Below are 20,093 nucleotides of genomic sequence, written 5' to 3' on the forward strand. Positions count from 1 at the left end.
TAGACAGAGTCTCACTCTGTCGTCCAGGCTAGGGTGCAGTGGCACGATCTCGGCTCACTGCAACCTATGCCTCCCAGGTTCAAGCAATTCTCCTGCCTCAGCCTCCCGAGTAGCTGGGACTACAGGCGCCTGCCACCATGCCCGGCTAATTTTTGTATTTTTAGTAGAGACGGGGTTTCACCATGTTGCCCTCGAACTCCTGATCTCAGGTGATCCGCCTGCCCCAGCCTCCCAAAGTGGGTGGATTCCAATGCATTCCAGCCTGGGTGGAAAGTAAGACCCCATCTCTTAAAAAAACCAAAAAGCATCAGTATAGTTTTGATGTTGTGTTAAAGAATAAGGAAAAAGAAGTTAAAAGAGAGACAGAAAACAAAACGCAAAACCAGAAACAAAACCAAATGAGCTGCCTTTTCCCCTTCCCAGCAATTCTCTAAGGTAAGTCTTTGGGAGTGCATCTGAACTCTGCATGGGAAGCTCTGTCTCCTGCATTCTGAGGCCTCGAGGCACCTTCTTGACTCCACATACTGAGTGTGAGGCCAGGAAGAGACAAGTGCCGAAGGAAGCAGCTGGCAGGAGGCCTGTTGCATGAAGGTGGAGGCTTGATGGAACGTGGACCTCGGGCCTCTGCCTCTTTCTTCCTTGCTGCTTCTACGTGGACCTCGGGCCTCTGCCTTTCTTCCTTGCTGCTTCTACGTGGACCTCGGGCCTCTGCCTCTTTCTTCCTTGCTGCTTCTACGTGGACCTCGGGCCTCCGCGCCTTTCTTCCTTGCTGCTTCTACGTGGACCTCGGGCCTCCGCGCCTTTCTTCCTTGCTGCTTCTACGTGGACCTCGGGCCTCTGCCTCTTTCTTCCTTGCTGCTTCTACGTGGACCTCGGGCCTCTGCCTCTTTCTTCCTTGCTGCTTCTACGTGGACCTCGGGCCTCTGCCTCTTTCTTCCTTGCTGCTTCTACGTGGACCTCGGGCCTCTGCCTCTTTCTTCCTTGCTGCTTCTACGTGGACCTCGGGCCTCTGCCTCTTTCTTCCTTGCTGCTTCTACGTGGACCTCGGGCCTCTGCCTCTTTCTTCCTTGCTGCTTCTACGTGGACCTCGGGCCTCTGCCTCTTTCTTCCTTGCTGCTTCTACGTGGACCTCGGGCCTCTGCCTCTTTCTTCCTTGCTGCTTCTACGTGGACCTCGGGCCTCTGCCTTTCTTCCTTGCTGCTTCTACGTGGACCTCAGGCCTCTGCCTCTTTCTTCCTTGCTGCTTCTACGTGGACCTCGGGCCTCTGCCTCTTTCTTCCTTGCTGCTTCTACGTGGACCTCAGGCCTCTGCCTTTCTTCCTTGCTGCTTCTATTCCTCTTTCTTCCAGCAACGGTATCCCTGATTTTCCTCTGACTACTCCACACTAATTTTTTTTTTTTTTTTGAGACAGAGTTTCACTCTTGTTGCCCAGGCTGGAGTGCAATGGTGTGATCTTGGCTCACTGCAACCTCTGCCTCCCAGGTTCAATGATTCTTCTGCTTCAGCCTCCCAAGTAGCTGAGATTACAAGCATGCGCTACCATGCCTGGCTAATTTTTTGTATTTTTAGTAGAGACAGGGTTTTACCATGTGGGCAAGGCTGGTCTCGAACTCCTGGCGCCAAGTGATCCATCCGCCACAGCCTCCCAAAGTGCTGGGATTACAGGCATGAGCTCCCGCACCCGGCCCCCATCAACTCTTTCCATATATGCTTGAGTGCAGCTGAAGACGATCTGCCTCCACAAGTAGGGCATGTGACTTCTTCCTGACTGGTGTATGACACATGCCAGAACATGGTGTTTGATTCAGAGATGGAAATGAGTCAGGCCTAGGACCTCTGTTCGACCATTTTGGGGACATTCTCTTTCCTGCCAGGCTTGAACCTTGAAGGAGATGGTATCCCCTTTTCTTGAATGTGGCACCTGATGATAAAGTCACCATGGAGGTGAGCAGAACCGAGTGGCATTAGCTCCCAGATCAAGCCACACCTGCAGCTAGTGGACTCTTCCTGGTCTTTCTTTTTTTTTGAGATGGAGTCTCGCTTTGTCGCCCAGGCTGGAGTGCAGTGGTGCGATCTCAGCTCACTGCAAGCTCCACCTCCCGGGTTCACACCATTCTCCTGCCTCAGCCTCCCGAGTGGCTGGGACTACAGGCGCCCGCCACCACACCCAGCTATTTTTTTTTGTATTTTCAGTAGAGACGGGGTTTCACTGTATTAGCCAGGATGGTCTCCATCTCCTGACCTCATGATCCGCCTGCCTTGGCCTCCCAAAGTGCTGGGATTACAGGCTTGAACCACCATGCCTGGCCATCTTCCTGGTCTTTTAATGCTACGTGAGCCAACTAATTCCTTTGTCCCCCTCTTAAAGCTGTTTGAGTTAGGTTTTCAGCCAATTGCAGGCTAATACAATGGGCTCAGGGACAAAGGATAATAGGGGTAAGATATGATTGGGATCTGAAACTTCATCTACGATACCAGGCCCTATCTAAGGAGAACTGTGGCCTGCAAGCCTCAAGTCCAGAGAAAGGGAGACAGATGTCCAGGGTGTGTCCATGTCTCTGGCACTGCATGGCAGTGGGAAATTTTTGTCACCAGCGCTGGTCTTTGGCCACTAAGCCTGCAGCCCTAGAGAGGAGGTGTCAGACTGTTAAGAGCTGAATGGCTCCACAGGTCTGTATTTCAGACTCACCAAACAACCTCCGAATGGCTTTGCTTCCCTCTAGAATGTGCTTTCCTACTAGAAGCGGGTTTGTCACACGGCTGTTCAAATTTTTCTTGCAAATAAACCTTGGGACCTGCTTCATTCATCATTCTCCTGCGCATTTTGGTTCTTGTGGTCAGTCTGTAATCGACACTGCATATCTCTGGGGCCCCTGGCAAATCCAGCTGCTGGACCCATACAGTAATGGTCCACATTTGTCTTCATTCGTTTTCTTTTGCCTATAACAGAGTATCTTAAACTGGGTAATTTATATGGAAAAGGAATTTATTTCTTACAGTTCTGCAGGCTGAGAAGTCCAAAGTCAAGGGGCCACATCTGGTGGGGACTTCCTGCTGGTGGGGACTCCCTGCAGTCCCAAAGCAGCACAAGGCATCAGATGGCAACAGGGATGGGTGTGCGAAGGTGCTAGCTCAGGTCTGTCTTCCTCTTCCTACAAAGCCACCAGTTCCTCTCCCATGATAACCCATTAATTAATCCATGAATGAATTCATTCATTCATGTGGGCTGAATTTTACCTCAGTTAAAGAAAATAGGGTAACCTAACCTTGAGAACATTGTCAGAGAAACTTTGAGGAATTATTTACCTTCATATATACATACTGTGAAATTCAAATACTTATTTCCCTTAGACTCTTATTCATGTATGTGTAAGAGACAGAGAGAAACAGAGTCGGAGACAGAGTTTTAGTTGACTTGAAAAAAGGAAACAGACTTTTATACACTGTTGGTGGAAATATAAACTGGTACAGACTTTTCAAAGAGCCATTTGGCAATATCTACCAAAACCCGCTCATTTTTTGTATTTTTTGTAGAGATGGGGTTTTGCTATGTTGCTCAGGCTGGTCTCAACCTCCTGAGCTCAAGCGATCTGCCAGCCTGGGAGAGTCCTCATGGCCCAATCACCTCTTAAAGACCCCACCTCTCAATACTGGGCCATCCCTTGAAACCATTCTGCCCTCTAGGCCCTCTAGGCCTCAGAGCCTGTGACAGCAAGTGTAGCCTCAAAGACCTCCAAAATGCCCTAGAGGTCTTTCTTCTATTTTTTTTTTTTTTTTTTTGAGGTGGAGTTTTGCTCTTGTTGCCCAGGCTGGAGTACAACGGCATGATCTCGGCTCGCTGCAACCTCCACCTCCCAGGTTCAAGCAATTCTCCTGCCTCAGCCTCCCAAGTAGCTGGGATTACAGGCGACTGCCAACACGCCCGGCTAATTTTTTGTATTTTTAGTAGAGACGGGGTTGGTTTCAGCATGTTGGCCAGGCTGGTCGCGAACTCCTGATCTCAGGTGATCCACCCCGCCTCGTCCTCCCAAAGTGCTGGGATTACAGGTGTGAGCCACCGTGAGTGACCAGCTCCATGCTCTTTGATGATCCTTTTTCTCTGTACTAATCTTGGTGAAAGACCACTGGGCCACCCTTGGTTTCTGCTTTTGAACACACTTTTTCATTCTACATGGCCAGGCTGAGTTTTGCAAATTTGTCTGCTTTGTTTCTCTTTTGATTGTTAATTCTGTCTTCATGAGTGCTGGAGGAGACAAATATTCAAACCACAGCAACATTCTCCATCAGTCCCAGGTTGGAATTCCAATGCCCCAGTCATGTTTGAGTGACAGACACCACGGCAACATCAACAATCATGGCCATCACCTAGGTGTCCATTTTCATTACTGAACCACCCATCTGAGGCCACCCTCTCAGAGTTAACAGGAATCCCGGACAGAAATATAGTTATAATTAAGCATTAATCAGGCGGCACTTAGGCCCACTTCCTTGTAACAGAAAGTCATGTAGCTCCGGACACTGACCATTATGCACCCCCGCTGTTACTACAGATGGGATTTCTGATGTTAGGGTCCTAAGGCTTTTGTTTAAAAATCACTTAAGCAGCCTGGCACAGTGGCTCACGCCTGTAATACTAGCACTTTGGGAGGCCGAGGCGGGCAGATTGCTTGAGGGCAGGAGCTGGAGACCAGCCTGGGCAACAAGGTGAAACCCCATGTCAACAACAACAATTAACGGGGTGTGGTGTATGCCTGCAGTCCCAGCCTCTCCGGAGGCTGAGGTGGGAGGATCACCTGAGCCCAAGGAGGTTGAGACTGCAGTGAGCCGTGATCATGCCACTGCACTCCAGCCTGGGTGACAGAGTGAGAACCTGTCTCAAAAATACAGTAACATAAATAAATATAGGCCGGGTACAGTGGCTCACACCTGTAATCCCAGCATTTTGGGAGGCCGAGGCGGGTAAATCACGAGGTCAGGAGTTCAAGACCAGCCTGGCCAACGTGGTGAAACCCCGTCTCTACTAAAAATACAAAAATTAGCTGGGTGTGGTGGTGTGCCTCTGTAATCCCAGCTACTCGGGAAACTGAGGCAGGAGAATTGCTTGAATCTGGGAGGTGGAGCTTGCAACAAGCCGAGATTGTGCCACTGTGCTCCAGCCTGGGCAACAGAGCAAGACTCTGTCTCAGGGAAAAAAATAAAAAAACAAAAATAAGTAAATAAATATGAAAGAAGTGCTCAAGCAGATCCTGAACTCCAGTCGAACAGGTGATGCCAACCAGTTTGAAGACCCCCAACCCTTGCCCAAAGGAACCAATCAGCATGAGAATCAGCACGGCTTCATCCTGCTCTCCTTGACAAACCAGCAATCTCCATTCTTCAGCCCACTCCAAAACCCTTGAAAATCCTAGCCCCAAACTCATCAGGGAGGCAGATTTGGTTTCTTCTTGTCTCCACATCCAGTGGCCCTAGGATTCAAACCTCCTCTGCTGCAGCCTGGTGTCTTGGCGCATTGACTTGCTGTGCACATCGGATGATGACCCTATTCTGGTGACGCATCCCTCTGTGCAACGCATTTACTGGTCAAATTAGAATTATTTTGGTTGTAAGCTACAGAAGCCAAACTCAAACTTAAGCGAAAAAAAAAAAGTATTGGTTTGTATACCTGGAATAGGTTCTGGTATAGGTCACGAGCTAAAGGAAAAAACTACTGAAACAAGTTGTCAGGCCCTTGCTCTGAGACTCCACATCTTCACCAGTGTCTCATCTCTCCATGTGGTGGGGAAGATGGCACTGGCTGCCACCAATTCATGCTGTCCTCGCTTAGCACGTATCAATCCCAGACTGGTCCTGCTTTGGTACTGCCTGACTGCAGTAGAAACAAGGCCCAGGCCAGGCCAGTGAGAGCCTGCCCTGGGTCTTTGGCTGGAATCATTAGGAAAGAAGCACCTTCTCTAAGCGGAGAAGCTGGTAGAATCTAAGCCTGCAGGTGTTGGTGGCATCTTTCCCGCTTGTGAGGCCTGCAGAGAGAACAGGATGGAGGGTGGGAGGTGAGATCGATTCTTGATGCCACCTTACAATGCCTGAATGGTTCAGCATTCCCTCTTTCAATTCAATTCCCTCCTTCTTGCAAAGAAATATTGAGTTGTGAGTTTTATAACTTGCAATGGGAGGTCTGGCCTAACATGAGGGGCACTTTGATCTGGCCTGAAAGGGTGAGTAGGTATTTTGCGGGGTTCTCCTCGGATATGCAGAAAGAAAAGGGCATGCACAGCAGAGCCACTATCGTACCCTCCTGGTGGCAGCAAGTCTCCCCAGAGGGCTCCAATTAGTCCACCCCGCCCTGCATGCACGCGCAGCTCCTCCACAGCTTATGTCCTCTCCTCTTGAATCTGGCTTGGGCTTGTGCCTGCTTTAATTCATAGAATATTGAGGAAGTGGCCTTCTTCAGAAGGCCTGGCAGCTTCGCTTTCCTCTTGGAGCCCCTGGTTGTCATGTAGGAAGTGCAGGATCACCTCCTGCTGGGGAAAGGGGCCACACACAAAGGCTGAAGGATGAGACACTGCGGGGGAGGCCTCGTTAGGGGGCAGCGAGGTGCCAGACATTCAACACCCAGCTGCCACCTTTGGTATAGGCATGAGGCCCCAAGGGTGAACATCAGAATCATGAGATACAGTAAAACTGTTGCTTTATGCTACCAAGATTTTGTGCAACAAGACCTCCCCTCCTCCATACAGTCGTGCCAGTCACAAGGGAATTGCTCCCTCTGTTTTTTGTTTTGTTTTGTTTGAGTTTTTTTTTTTTTTTTTTTGAGACAGTCTTGCTCTGTTGCCCAGGCTGGAGTGCCATGGCGCAACCTTAGCTCACTGCAACCTCTGCCTCCTGGATTCAAGCGATTCTCATGCCTCAGCCTCCTAAGTAGCTGGGATTACAGGTGCCCGCCACTGCACCCAGCTAATTTTTTTTTTTTTTTTTGTATTTTTAGTAGAGACGGGGTTTTGCCATGTTGGCCAGGCTGGTCTCGAACTCCTGGCCTCAAGTCATCTGCCCGCCTCGGCCTCCCAAAGTGCTGGGATTACAGGCGTTGAGTCCCCGCACCGGGCTGAGGTAGCTGCCTCTGGCCAAATTACAAAAAGGCACCCAGGCTGGAGCACAGACGGCCAGGGCACTCACACAGGGAGGAGAGGCCCTGCAGGGTGTCTGTCCCATTGGCCCCTCAGCCTGGGATACTCTGTACAGCACAGGGCCGCACAACTCCCTGCTGTACAGGAGGAGGTTGTGGAGGGATGGCCACAGGCAGCTTACTGGTCTACATGTGTTCTTCCTGACTCCTAAACTTCTGCACTGCTCTGTCTTTGCCCAGTGTCCTATGGCGCTAGAGGCCTGGGCTGTCACTCCTGATGTCATGGCAGTGCCAAGCGATGACCATCCCAAGGCCGTGCTGGGGAGAGGGGGATCATCTTCACCTCTGAACAGCTTTTGTCCCTCATCCTTTCCTTGCCCTTCCAGCCAGGTCTCCTCCACCCCAGGCAACAGCAACCCATTTCCCACATCCCCAGCTCTCAACAGCCTTCACTGAAGCAGAAGCCTCGGTTTGTTGCTACTGTTAGTTCCTGGAACCTGTCTCACTCTCATTTCTTCAGGGTTGATTTTCCAGGAAGCAGTTAGCAGCCTATCCTAGTTTGCCACATAGGTGGGCAGGCAGCTTTCCTTTTCCTTCACGCCTTCAACATATAGCTCAAATTTTTTTTTTTTTTTTGAGACAGGGTTTCGCTCTTGCTGCCCAGGCCTGAGTGCAATGGTGCGATCTCCGCTTACTACAACCTCCGCCTCCCAGGTTCAAATGATTCTCCTGCCTGCCTCAGCCTCCCGAGTAGCTGGGATTACAGGTGCAAGCCACCAGACCTGGCTAATTTTTTGTACTTTTAGTAGGGACGAAGTTTCGCCATGTTGGTCAGGCTGTTTTCCAACTCCGGACCTCAGGTGATCTGCCCCCCTCGGCCTCCCAAAGTGCTGGGATTACAGGCGTGAGCCACCGCGCCCGACCAATATACCTCCAATATTAAGTCTGTTGGGTGTTATTCTTGCCCCTAGACTGTGAGCTTACTCAGGGCTGGGTGGGGTCTGATTCATCTCTGTGCCCTGACCATCAGTCAACTAATATTTCTTGATGTAAGCATCATGAATCAGCCCAGTCATTTCTCTGCTGACCTTCAAACACCAGAGTTTGCCCTGAACACCTTTTGATCTTGGAGCACAGCAGCTGCTGTCCGTTACCCAGGCTAGGACCCCAGCACCAAAACTGTCCATTAATGTAATGGAATGAATTACCATTAATAGGCTGAAGTGGTATGTTAACTTACTCTTCTTTGTATAATTGAGGAAGGAATAATATTCGACTGTTCACGATTGAATGTCTTGTCTTTAGGCAGATCAAGATACTGGCTCCGGTCAAATACTGTGTTTCGACGTGATTGACAGGCGAAGGCTTAAGGAAAAGGAAGAGGAGAAAAAAAGGGGAGGACGATCAAGGAAAAGAGGAGATAAAAGTGGACAACCCAGCCGGGCGCGGTGGCTCACGCCTGCCATCCCAGCACTTTGGGAGGCGGAGGTGGGCGGATCACGAGGTCAGGAGATGGAGACCATCCTGGCTAACACGGTGAAACCCCGTCTCTACTAAAAATACAAAAAATGAGCCGGGCGCGGTGGCGGGCGCCTGTAGTCCCAGCTACTCGGGAGGCTGAGGCAGGAGAATGGTGTGAACCCGGGAGGCGGAGCTTGCAGTGAGCCAAGATCGCCCCACTGCACTCTGGCCTGGGTGAAAGAGCAAGACACCGTCTCAAAAAACAAAAAAAAAGTGGACAACCTGGGGCGGAAAAAGAAGTAGATGAAAAATGGAGGAGCGCTAAGGAGAGGAGAAAACAGAAGTGCCAAGGCAGGAAAGGAGCGAGGAGAGCGGGAACAGAAGGAGACGAAGGATGGACGGAGAGGAAGGGATGGAGGGCGGCAGGCAGGGAGGCAGGGCCCGCAGCGCGCCGGGCCGGTCCACCGCTCTCCAGCGCGGGGGTAAGGGGGCGGGGCCTGGGCAGCTGCGTGCCGGGAGCGACCCCCGCACCGAAGGGCGGATGGTTGTGCCCGGCGACGGCGCCCAATGAGCGGCCAGGATGTTGGAGCGCCGGCGGCGGTCCGGGCGCTCGCTGGCTGAGGGACGGCGGCCGCCGCCATGATGCTTGTTTGCTTTCAATGAAAACGAGGGGGGCGCGGAGGAGGAGGCGGCGGCGTCGGTGGCGGCGGCGACGGCGGCGCGGAGGCGAAGGCAGCGGCGGGCGCAGCGAGGAGGGCGAGGCCGGGGGCCGAGAGGGCGGGAGGGCGTAGTGGCGGCCCGTCGGGGCGGCTGAGGCGGGCAGCCGAAGCAGTGGCTCTCGGAGGGGGAACAAAGAGCAGCGACTAAGGCGGCAGAGGAGCGGCGGCGGTGGCGGCGCTGCAGCAGCGGGCGGGACTGGTATGGTGGTTCCACAGGGCAGACCCCGCTGCACTCACAGGGAGGAGGAGGCGGCAGCGGCGGAGGAAGGCGGCGCACCCCGAGAGGTGAGCGAGGCAGGCCGGAGGCCCGGTCGGGGCGCCGCTCCTCTCTCCGGCCGCGCACGGACCGCCCCCCGTCGGCCGGGCTCGGTCGCGGGCAACTTTCGTTTCGTGGGCGGCGGTCCCGCTGCTCCGCAAGCTGGCGGCTGTTGGGGGCCCCTTCGACGCGCCGCGATCGCGCCCCGCCCCGGGCCGCGCCCCCGGGCCGAGTCCCTGGGAGGGGGGCGTTGATTGACGGCGGCGGCGGCGGCGCGCAGAGGGGAGAGGGTCGGCGCTGGGCTCCCGGATCCCGGCCGGTCCCGGCTGCCGTCGTCGGAGGAGGCGAGTCCGTGTCCCGGGACTCGTGGCCAAGATGGGTGGCAACTTTTGAGAAGCGCCTCTGTGGGTGGCGCGCTGTGTGGAGTGTGGAGCTTCGCGCTCCGTGGCCACAATTACTGTCAAGCGGGAAACCAACTGCTTACCCCCTCCCCTAAAATGTTTTTAAAATTCAGTTTAACGCAGATTTTGAGGGAGAGGACGGGGTGGATTACAGGTTAAAGAAGCACTTGGCATGCAATGAGGATGCTTATTTTATAGTATTGCGAAGGATTCGGAGATTGTACTGGTTTCTACAAGCAGTTTTCTCTGGTAACCCAAATTGCATCCCTCCTTTTTGTTTTTCAGCACTAATCGCTATTTTCTTTGGAAACTTCCTTTGATTCTTTACCTCCTTCACCTTCCCCGAAGAGCCTGCTAACCAACACCTGTGGCCTTCTGTTTTTAACTGTTGTTGCCATTGACAGCGTTGTGAATGGTCATCTCGCTCGAGCTCTTTGGATTTGTTGTTACTGTGTAAGCTGATGTGTTTTAGATAATCTGCTTCAATTTGAGTTCCCATACTTACCTGTTTTCCAGGTGGATTGTCTCATTGTTAGTGCTGAATCTTCTTGCCTACTTGTATCTGGGAATTTAACTTTGAAGAGGAAGAGAGTGAATATGAATAACTGAAAAATAAAATGGTGTGTAGTAGCACTTTGTATTTTTTACAATATACTAGAATTTACTACTCTAGAACAGATTAGTAGGCTGTAGGAGTGGACGTGGGCCATTGATCAAAAGGGTTTAAAGGCTTTTTTGGGGAATTGCTGTTAAGACATTTATCACAGTCTTTATTTAATTTATTTATTGTTTTTGAGACAGGATCTCACTCTGTCACCCAGGCTGGAGTGCAGTGGCACAGTTCTCGGCTCACTGCAGCCTTCGCCTCCTGGGTTCAAGCGATCCTTTTGCCTCACCCTCCTGACTAGCTGGGACTACCGGCAGACACCACCACGGCTAATTTTTTAATTTTTTGTAGAGCCTTGCTCTGTTGCCCAGGCTGGTCTCCGACTCCAGGGCTCAAGCGATCTTCCTTCCTTGGCCTCCCAAAGTGCTGCAATTACAGGCATGAGCCAACATGCCTGGCCATCACAGTGTTTAGAATGTGATGACTTTTAGAGTAAAATTTAGAATAAAAATTGCTTAATATCTTTAGATCTGTGATCTACTCCAGGTGTTTTGCTTTAAACAAAATACATGAACAGCTGCTAATGAGAAGACAGACCTTTCTAGGTGGAGGTGACTTGCCCATGGTACTGTAATGAGGAGGGAAAGGACCGGGTTTGTGTGCGTGTGAGAGCGCATGAGTGTGCGACCTAATCGCTAGAGGTTTGTTCTTTTGGGAGGAGGGAGGGTATGTTAATGGTTGGAAGTTATTTCAGGTCACTTCTCAGTCGATGAACGAGATGCTGAACGAAATGATCAAAAAAGATGATGCAATTGCCAGGCATGGTGGCTCACCGTGTAATCCCAGCGCTTTGGGAGGTTGAGGAAGGAGGATGGCTTGAGCCCAGGTGTTTGAGACCAGCAAAACCCTGTCTCAGAAAAATATAAAGTAACATATATAAAGTCTGTGATAACTGTCACAACGTAGTGAGACCTTGTCTTGATCACTTTATAAAAACGGTGACGAAAGACAGATTTTCTTGTGAGACTGAAGATTTTCTCTGAAAGTCAATCATTAGGTAATTTCCATAGTGTCTTGATAGTGGTGATGCAGCCCAAGCGGCTCCTCTTGAATGCCTGTTCAATTTGTAGGTATTTTCAGGTTGCTTAAATGTTGTTGGCAAAGTAAAACTACAATTATTGGGAAATTTCAAACTTTTGAGCAGACATAAGGTTGGTTTATAGAACTTGGTCCTAACTACAAATGTGTAAAGGCGTTGTAGGAATTTGCCCACTGTACATGTAGTTTAAAAGTATGCATTTTATGCCAGGCGCGGTGACTCACGCCTGTAATCCCAGCACTTTCGGAGGCCGAGATGGGTGGATCACCTGAGGTCAGGAGTTCGAGGCAAGCCTGGCCAATATGATGAAACCCTGTCTCTACTAAAAATACAAAATTAGCCAGGTGTGGTGGCGCATGCCTGTAATCCCAGCTATTCAGTAGGCTGAGGTGGGAGAATGGCTTGAACCTGGGAGGCAGAGATTGCAGTGAGCCAGGATCACGCCACTGCACTTCACCCTGGGCAACGAGTGAAACTCCGTCTCAAAAAAAAAAAAAAAAAGTATGCATTTTGGTGAATGCTTAGACATTCCAGTACCTATATTTGCCTTCTTATATTCTTTAAATGATAAACCTTTTTCATAGTGCAACAGAAAAGGATAATATATGTAAGACATATTGGAATAAATGGTTAAGGCAGCTCACAGCTGTATTCTTTGGGCCGTTAGGGGTGAGGGATCAGTATGTTCAGCACCTTTAGAACCCATTCCCATATGCAAGGTCCACTGGCTTGGGAAGCTCTGCTTGAAAGCATTTATTACTTTGGAAAAGTCCTAATAGGCTCAGCTAAAAATGTATGTTTTACTGGGAAAACCAAAGACTTGGATATGTAGATATCTTTATACCCATTACTCATACAGTCATTTTATAACAAAAGTGTGATTAATAAAACGCTGTGTATGTGAAATTAAGAATTGCTGAGACTGGGCGCGGTGGCTCATGCCTTTAATCCCAGCACTTTGGGAGGCCGAGGCGGGCGGATCACTTGAGGTTAGGAGTTCGAGACCAGCCTGACCAAGATGGAGAAACCCTGTCTCTACTAAAAATACAAAATTAGCCAGGCGCAGTGGCACATGCCTGTAATCCCAGCTACTCGGGAGACTGAGGCAGGAGAATCGCTTGAACCTGGGAGGCAGAGCCTGCAGTGAGCCGAGAGCACGCCATTGCACTCCAGCCTGGGCAAAAAGAGTGAAACTCCATCTCAAAAAAAAAAAAAAAATGCTGAGTAAACTGTAAACATATACTGTATGCATAGCTGGGGTACATTAGAGTATAATGGAATGTACTGTATTTTGGTACTTGAATAAGTAATTAGCGAGGTGGGGGGTTATTTGATCCAAGATGAGGACTCATTTAGGCTGTCTCCACTTCGCTCTTCTCTGTCCTTCACCTCTCCTTCATCCATTTATATTTTCTTGGTAACTTCAGTTACACGTTAAGGTATGTACTGGCCATAGTGTTTTAACACTGAGAATTCAAAGACAAATAATACTCCGATTTTGCCTTCTCATAGTGTATAGGCTTCATAGGTGCACAGAGTGCTGTGGGAGAACACAATAGAGAATGATTAAACTTGTGGAGGGTGTGGGGGCAGTTTACGGAAAATAACACTGAATAGGAATTTGCCAAACTGGGGAGAGGGAGTCATGTCAAACAGAAGGAAGTGTGGGTGCACTGAGGTGTCAAGTGTTAGGGTAAGGCTAGTGATAAGGTGTTACTGGAACAGTGGGAATGACTCGAGATGAGCCTGCAAAGGTGTGTCTGGTCTAGATTTTGAAGGACCAGCCTTGCTAAGCTAAAAGGGAAGTGTATAGCCTTATCTGACAGCAGAAGAGAGAGCCAAAATATTGTTAGCAGAGGAGCAAGGCGATTTGGAGGTCACTTTGGCATCCCTGTGGAGAATAGAGTGGAGGCCCTACAAGTGTATATTTGAGATAGTATGGAGTTAGTGACTTTGAATCTGTTTTCTTCTTTTTTTCTGAGATGAAGGCTCACTTGGAGTGCGGTGGCGCGATCTCGGCCCACTGCAACCTCCGCCTCCTGGGTTCCAGCCATTCTCCTGCTTCAGCCTCCCGAGTAGCTGGGATTACGGGCTCCTGCCACCACGCCGACTAATTTTTTTGTATTTTTAGTAGAGGCAGGGTTTCACCATGTTGGCCAGGCTGGCTTTAAACTCCTGACCTCAAGTGATCTGCCCACCTTGGCCTCCCAAAGTGCTGGGATTACAGGCGTGAGCCACCATGCCTGGCCTGGATCTATTTTTAACTTGGATATGGTGTCTTCTGAGTCTGTGGTCCCTTAAGGGACTTTAGGGCTATGCCCAGTTGCTCTATAATACAGGGTCATTTAAAATCAAAGTGTCAGTATGTTTTGGAAGAAGTTAAAAGCAGTCAAAACAATGAAAGTTATAAAATGTTACTCATGAAAGTTCAGGTGTTGAGAATACTTGTCTTCTGAGTTAGGCTTAGGCAGGCTATAGACCTTAAGCTGGAAAATTCAACCCTATGTCCACTTGAAATCAAAGCCACCAAGCTTAAAAAGTTACCAGTATCCTGATGGTTTGCTAGGATATGGGTTGTAAACATTTTGTGAAATTTTGGGGGGAAGGCAGTTTTCTCTCTAGTAAATTATTGGAATTGGAATAGTGAGACTAGCTTAAGGTCTAAGAAGTTCTCATACAACTGTTAATTTATACAGTCAGTTCTGCTGTAAAGCAACATACAGGTTCCTAAAAATCACTGCTTTGCAGAATCGTGCAGTAGAAATGACTTACAAATGGGGTTGGGGTACAGCACTCTAAAGCTTTATCAGTGACACATTTAAAAAAGGAACCTGGTAAAAATGATAGAACAGTTTTACACGTTGAATGGTTAAGAAATATATAGATACTGTAATAAATGTGGCATTTTCTTTGAAAAAGCCCTGGTTTGCTTGTGGAAAGGGATGTCAGAAAGGTTGCTGCTGGTGAGTTACTGTGAAGTGGTAGAAGAATTACTTATAATCAGATGGAAGGTTGTAACACGAGAAGCAAATAGGTGTGGCTCTTAACCCATAATAAACTGACTTAGCTGGTGGGTGTTTGAAGTGTGTTTCATGTATTTCTACACAGTTCAGTTCGGCTGGGTGCAAGCTTTCTCCCTTCATCTAGTGTTTATGTGACAGAATAGCACATAAATAAACAGGAAATATGGATTGTGCTCAAATTGTTCTCTAATTTGTGTATCAATCACAGTGGAACAAATTCACCTTTTCTTTTCTTTTTTTTTCCCCCCTTTTTCTTTCTTTTGCTTTTCCTTTTCCTTTTCTTTCTTGACAGGGTCTCACTCTGTGTCACCCAGGCTGGAGTGATGATGACTTGCTGCAGCCTTGACCTCCCAGGTTCACCCGAGCCTCCTGAGTACCTGGTATCACAGGTGTGTGCCACCACACCTGGCTGATTTTTCTTATTTTTAGTAGAGATGAGGTCTCTCTACGTTGCCCGGTTTGGTCTCACACTCCTGGGCTCAAGCAGTCCTCCTGCCTCGGCCTCCCAAAGTGCTAGGTTTATAGGTGTGAGCCACTGCACCTGGCCAAATTCACGTTTTCTTTTTCTTTTCTTTTCTTTTTTTTTTTTTTGAGATGGAGTCTCACTCTGTTGCCCAGGCTAGAGTGCAGTGGCGCTATCTAGGCTCACTGCAGGCTCCGCCTCCCGGGTTCACGCCATTCTCCTTCAGCCTCCTGAGTAGCTGGGACTACAGGCACCTGCCATCATGCCTGGCTAATTCAAATGCACGTTTTCAAAACAAGTTTTATAGTTGATTATACTTGTTTAATACTAGTTTTAAATAGTACTATAACTCAGTTTCAAAAATACTTGTTGAACAATCTATGTGTCAGGTAACATGCTACCTTTGTGGGGCTTAGAGTCTTTTGTCCCAAGTAGGTTTATAGTGTTGTGGAGAAGGACAAATGAACCAATAGAGTACTCATCGGGTTATACAGTAATTAAGAAAGCACAAAGCATTTTGGGCATGCTAAGGAAGGAGAAAGTCATTCTGCTTGGAAAACCCAGGGAGTCATCTCAGAGGTCTTTAAGCTGGATTTTAAAGGATGGATAGGGATTTGTTAGGTTGAGTAGGACAGGGAGAAGGAACAGCATATTGGGAACAACATGGGCTGTGGAGCATAAGACACAGGGATGAGAGGGACAGGAAGAGTGGTCAGAAACAGCTTGTGAATAGTTGTAGGGTTTTTCTTAAAGTGTTGAGATTTCCTGTATATGATAGAAATCCAGTGAGAGTTTAGGTGGATATGGGTGAGCAAGTGGTTCATGTAACATACTTTTTCAGGAGGCACATAATGAAAATGTAGAAGCTGGATTAAAGGAGTTAGAGTTCATTTACGTCCTGTGAGAGCTCAAGTACATCAGCATAGGGGATAGAAAAGCACAGGATACCAGAATTAGGGACAGACTAGCCATGAGCTATAAAAATAGGAAAGAGTTGAGTATGATTCAGAACTTGTTTAGCTTAGAGAACTGTTGGTATGATTTAACTTGGGAAACAGAAGAACAGATTTGGACGAGGAAAGTAGAATAGTTTGATTTTTGATCCTGTTAAGTTTGACATACCTCCTGGATACTTAGGTGGATATGTCTAACAGATATCTGGACCAGAGAGCGGTTTGGGGTTTGATAGATTTGGTCATTGTATAGTTGGCATTGGAAGTTAGGGGATTACTCAGGAAGAGTGTGTGAACAAATGTTTTTCACCCTTTTGACAGAGGTAAGATCTCCATTTGAGAATCAGTTAAGAATTATGGACTCTGCTGAAGGGAATGAAAGTATGCATATATGCAAGTGTGAAACTTATGGACCACAAGAGGAGAGGACTAAGGGAACCCTAAGGAACAGCTAATATTTTGTTTTGGACAGCATTGAAATGGTTGAAGAGACAAGGGCAGAACAGGAGAGAGTAACGCTACAGATGCCGAGAGAGGTCATAGTGCCAAGAAAGAAGGAGTTTTCAGTAGTCATCATTGTGCCCAGGTTTAGGGTGGGATGAGATCTGGAAATGGGTTGATAGGATTTGACAGGTGGGGGAATGAATGCAGGGAAAATTTTTATGGGACCAGGGCATATATAAGTCAGATAGTAGATTGGGCGGAGGAGCAAATGGGAGGTTAAGATGAAGAAGGTTATAGACTACTATTTGCAAAAATTTAAACTAGAAGAGAAGGAAAGAAGGGTAATAGTTTAAAGAGGAGACAGGGTCGAGAGAAGGTAGGCACCTGTGTTAGTCACCAGCTTTGTTTCCTTAAGTCCAAAACTTTGGAAATAAATTTATAATGTATATTGCGTGTATGTTTCCAAACGTTCCCCTGATCTATTGGTTGAAATTATTGCATTTTTATTTGGTGATACAAAATTGTTTTGCCTGCGGAATTTTATGTGATTTCAAAAACAATAAAAAAAACTCTTTCTCATTAGCGATAGAGATTATCTGATGTAAAATCATAATATTACAATTTTCAGCCTTCAGTTACTAGAAGAAGAAGATTTGTCCTCATTAGCGGTAGAGATTATCTGATGTAAACTCATAATATTACAATTTTCAGCCTTCAGTTACTAGAAGGATAAGATTTGCTTTCATATGCCATATACTAGGTTTGCACTTATGTTGTGCTCCATTGCCCAAACTTTGGTTAAATATTTGATGCGGTTTTAAGTGTAAAATAGTAGCAAAGAGGAAATCATTAGACATGGTCATTTTCTTTCCAAGTTATTGCTACAAACACATAGAGACTTAATAAATTAGCCAGTGGCTCTGTGTATCCAAATACAGAGTATTACAGGTGATTAGGTGCATTGAGTGGTTGTATATAGTTTTACTAGGCAGATTTTGATTATACGGAGATAGATGTGTTAGTAATCTCTCCTAATTAAAAACCAAACAGAGATGAAGATATGACTTGACTAAGTTAAATCAAAAATTGTATTGCACTCAGCCTTTTGGGAGGCAAATATTTTTCTTCTGTAAGGTTATGTATTGTTGTTAAGTAAACACTTCAGCATCATAAAACAATATTTGATGAAGCTAACTGCCATGTTTTAGACCAGTAGTTTCCTTTGTTAATCTAAAATTATGACAATGATAACTATAGTTTATAGACTAAAGAATTGTCATTTGGTTTTTAGTTTTATGGAAACTATAGAAACTCAAAGATTTAGGGGTTCATAGCCACTGAAGAAAAAAAATGATATTGAATGCCGGTGGTGCAGTGGGCTCTGCTGCTTTACATGTGTCTCATTTAATCCTCACACCAAAATTGTGACATAGATACCACCAATTTATAAGTGAGGAAATTTAGGCATTAAAGATGATTGTAAACCCATCATTTCAAGCCAGGACTTGATGCAGGTCTGACTCTAGTTTGTATTTTTCTTTTTTTTTTTTTTTTTGAGATGGAGTTTTCACTCTTGTAGCCCAGGCTGGAATGCAGTGGAGCAATCTCGGCTCACTGCAACCTCTGCCTCCTGGGTTCAAGCGATTCTCCAGCCTCAGCTTCCCGAGCAGCTGGGATTAGAGGTACGCGCCACCATGCCTGGCTAATTTTTTGCATTTTTGGTAGAGACGGGGTTTTGCCATGTTGGCCAGGCTGGTCTCGAACTCCTGACCTGAAGTGATGTGCCTGCTTCGGCACCCCAAAGTGCTGGGATTATAGGTGTGAGCCACTGCCCCCGGCCCCAGTTTGTATTCTTACTGACACTGTGCCCTACTTCCTTTTTTTTTTTTTTTTTTTTTTTTGAGAGAGTCTCAATCTGTCATCCAGGCTGGAGTGCAGGGGCGCCATCTTGGCTTACTGTGACCTCTGCATCCCGGGTTCAAGCGATTCCCTTGCCTCAGCCTCCCGAGTAGCTGGGACTACAGGCGTGCGCCACCACACCCGGCTAATTTTTTGTATTTTAGTAGAGACAGGGTTTCACCATGTTGGTCAGGATGGTCTCGATCTCCTGGACCTTGTGATCTGCCTGCCTTAGCCTCCCAAAGTGCTGGGATTACAGGCGTGAGCCACTGCGCCTGGCCCCTTTTTCTTCTTAACACACTCTCATGGTATTATGACTTGGAATGGTCTTTTGAGGTTAATTTGATAATATAGGAAAACCCAATTGTTGGCCCAAATTTATAACCGTTTACACTAGTAGTTGATCATGTTGACATAATAGTACTAAGTGGCAGAATCTTTGTTAATATTTGTGATTCTCTTTTTGGTTATGGATCAAAAACCTCCCAAGAGTCCACATAAGAGTACTTTTCATGCTAGTCAAAAATTCAGTTCTAAAGCATTTCATTATTTTGGAAAAGGCAGTCTGTTATACATCTGTAGTCAAAAAGCAGTGTATAGCTTTCAAATTTTCTGAAACATTATCAGTGGCCTTAGAGTAAGATTCTGGTGTTGTTAAAGGCTTCTTGATGCTTTGTAAGGTCAACATTTTATGAATAATTTTCTTTTGTAGTTTTAAGGGGAAAAGACTAGTGGATCAAAACTGATTGCTCATACATTACAACTTCCCAAGTCATTGTGTATCTGAATTGGCAGCCTAGAGTAAATATTGAATGGCTCAAAAGACCAAGATTCCCACTAGATAGTAGTACTTAGAATATTATGGTTCATTCCAAGAGCGGGGGCAGTAAATAGATTTTGGAAAGTCTGGCAAAAGGTAAGAAAACTGCAAAGATTCATGTTGGCATAAATATTAAGGTGCTGAAGTGATAAACTAAATGGTGGTTGCTTGTCTCATGGTAAGAGAACAGATTTAGGATTGATGACTTCCCCACTGCTTACCTTTTTAATCTTGGTGAGATTTTACTACACAAATCATGGTTTTGACTTAATACCTTACATTAGTGGGCAGACTTTAAAGAGATTTGCGGAACTGAGACAGTGTCACTCTTCTCACTAAATTTTACTTTGTTTTTTAAAATAGTTTTCATTAAAATGTCATTTAACATGTGATAGGTTTATTACTGTTAAAGAGTTCATAAATATTTTTTAAAGTTCTCAGTTCTAATTTGATTCTTACTGATAATTGATAGCTATAACCCACATCAATGAAAGTTCTGAGGTACTAGTTAATTTTTTTTTTTTTTTTTTTTTTGAGACGAAGTCTTGCTCTGTCCCCAGGCTGGAGTGCAGTGGCGCGATCTTGACTCGCTGCAAGCTCTGCCTCCCAGGTTCACGCCATTCTCCTGCCTCAGCCTCCCAAGTAGCTGGGACTACAGGCCTCTGCCACCACACCCAGCTAATTTTTTTTGTATTTTTAGTAGAGACGGGGTTTCACCGTGTTAGCCATCCTGGTCTCCATCTCCTGACCTCGTGATCCACCCACCTCTGCCTCCTAAAGTACTGGGATTACAGGCGGTAATAGTTAATTTTTTTTTTTTTTTTTTT

The 20,093-nt window shown here is 47.0% G+C and overlaps 1 protein-coding gene across 11 annotated transcripts in view, besides 5 other annotated features; it reads left to right on the forward strand.

The window, feature by feature from the left end:
* Positions 355 to 1,554: an enhancer, noted in NCBI's record as "BRD4-independent group 4 enhancer chr5:179912532-179913731 (GRCh37/hg19 assembly coordinates)". NCBI's record gives its function as "activates an origin of replication core promoter dependent on BRD2, P300/CBP, MED14 and CDK7 cofactors, and independent of BRD4, by STARR-seq in HCT116 cells {active_cell/tissue: HCT116}" and the evidence as "EXISTENCE:reporter gene assay evidence [ECO:0000049][PMID:35650434]".
* Positions 8,942 to 9,141: a silencer, noted in NCBI's record as "silent region_16766". NCBI's record gives its function as "represses an Ori minimal core promoter by ATAC-STARR-seq in GM12878 lymphoblastoid cells {active_cell/tissue: GM12878}" and the evidence as "EXISTENCE:reporter gene assay evidence [ECO:0000049][PMID:35858748]".
* CNOT6 (CCR4-NOT transcription complex subunit 6) overlaps positions 9,202 to 20,093 on the forward strand; it is an 83,980-nt gene continuing 73,088 nt past the window's right edge. For 6 of the 11 annotated variants that reach the window (NR_163438.1, NM_001370472.1, XM_017009672.2 and 3 more), the window contains exon 1: positions 9,202 to 9,586. The gene's annotated coding sequence lies outside the window, so the exon portion shown is untranslated. Of the gene's footprint in view, positions 9,587 to 10,243; positions 10,412 to 10,474; positions 10,579 to 20,093 lie in introns of all 11 variants that reach the window. The other 5 variants (XM_047417436.1, XM_047417440.1, XM_047417438.1 and 2 more) reach the window with 2 other exon arrangements.
* Positions 9,272 to 9,411: a silencer, noted in NCBI's record as "silent region_16767". NCBI's record gives its function as "represses an Ori minimal core promoter by ATAC-STARR-seq in GM12878 lymphoblastoid cells {active_cell/tissue: GM12878}" and the evidence as "EXISTENCE:reporter gene assay evidence [ECO:0000049][PMID:35858748]".
* Positions 9,582 to 9,681: a silencer, noted in NCBI's record as "silent region_16768". NCBI's record gives its function as "represses an Ori minimal core promoter by ATAC-STARR-seq in GM12878 lymphoblastoid cells {active_cell/tissue: GM12878}" and the evidence as "EXISTENCE:reporter gene assay evidence [ECO:0000049][PMID:35858748]".
* Positions 9,712 to 9,971: a silencer, noted in NCBI's record as "silent region_16769". NCBI's record gives its function as "represses an Ori minimal core promoter by ATAC-STARR-seq in GM12878 lymphoblastoid cells {active_cell/tissue: GM12878}" and the evidence as "EXISTENCE:reporter gene assay evidence [ECO:0000049][PMID:35858748]".

The sequence above is a fragment of the Homo sapiens genome, chromosome 5 (assembly GCF_000001405.40).
Source record: "Homo sapiens chromosome 5, GRCh38.p14 Primary Assembly".
Lineage (NCBI taxonomy): Eukaryota > Metazoa > Chordata > Mammalia > Primates > Hominidae > Homo > Homo sapiens.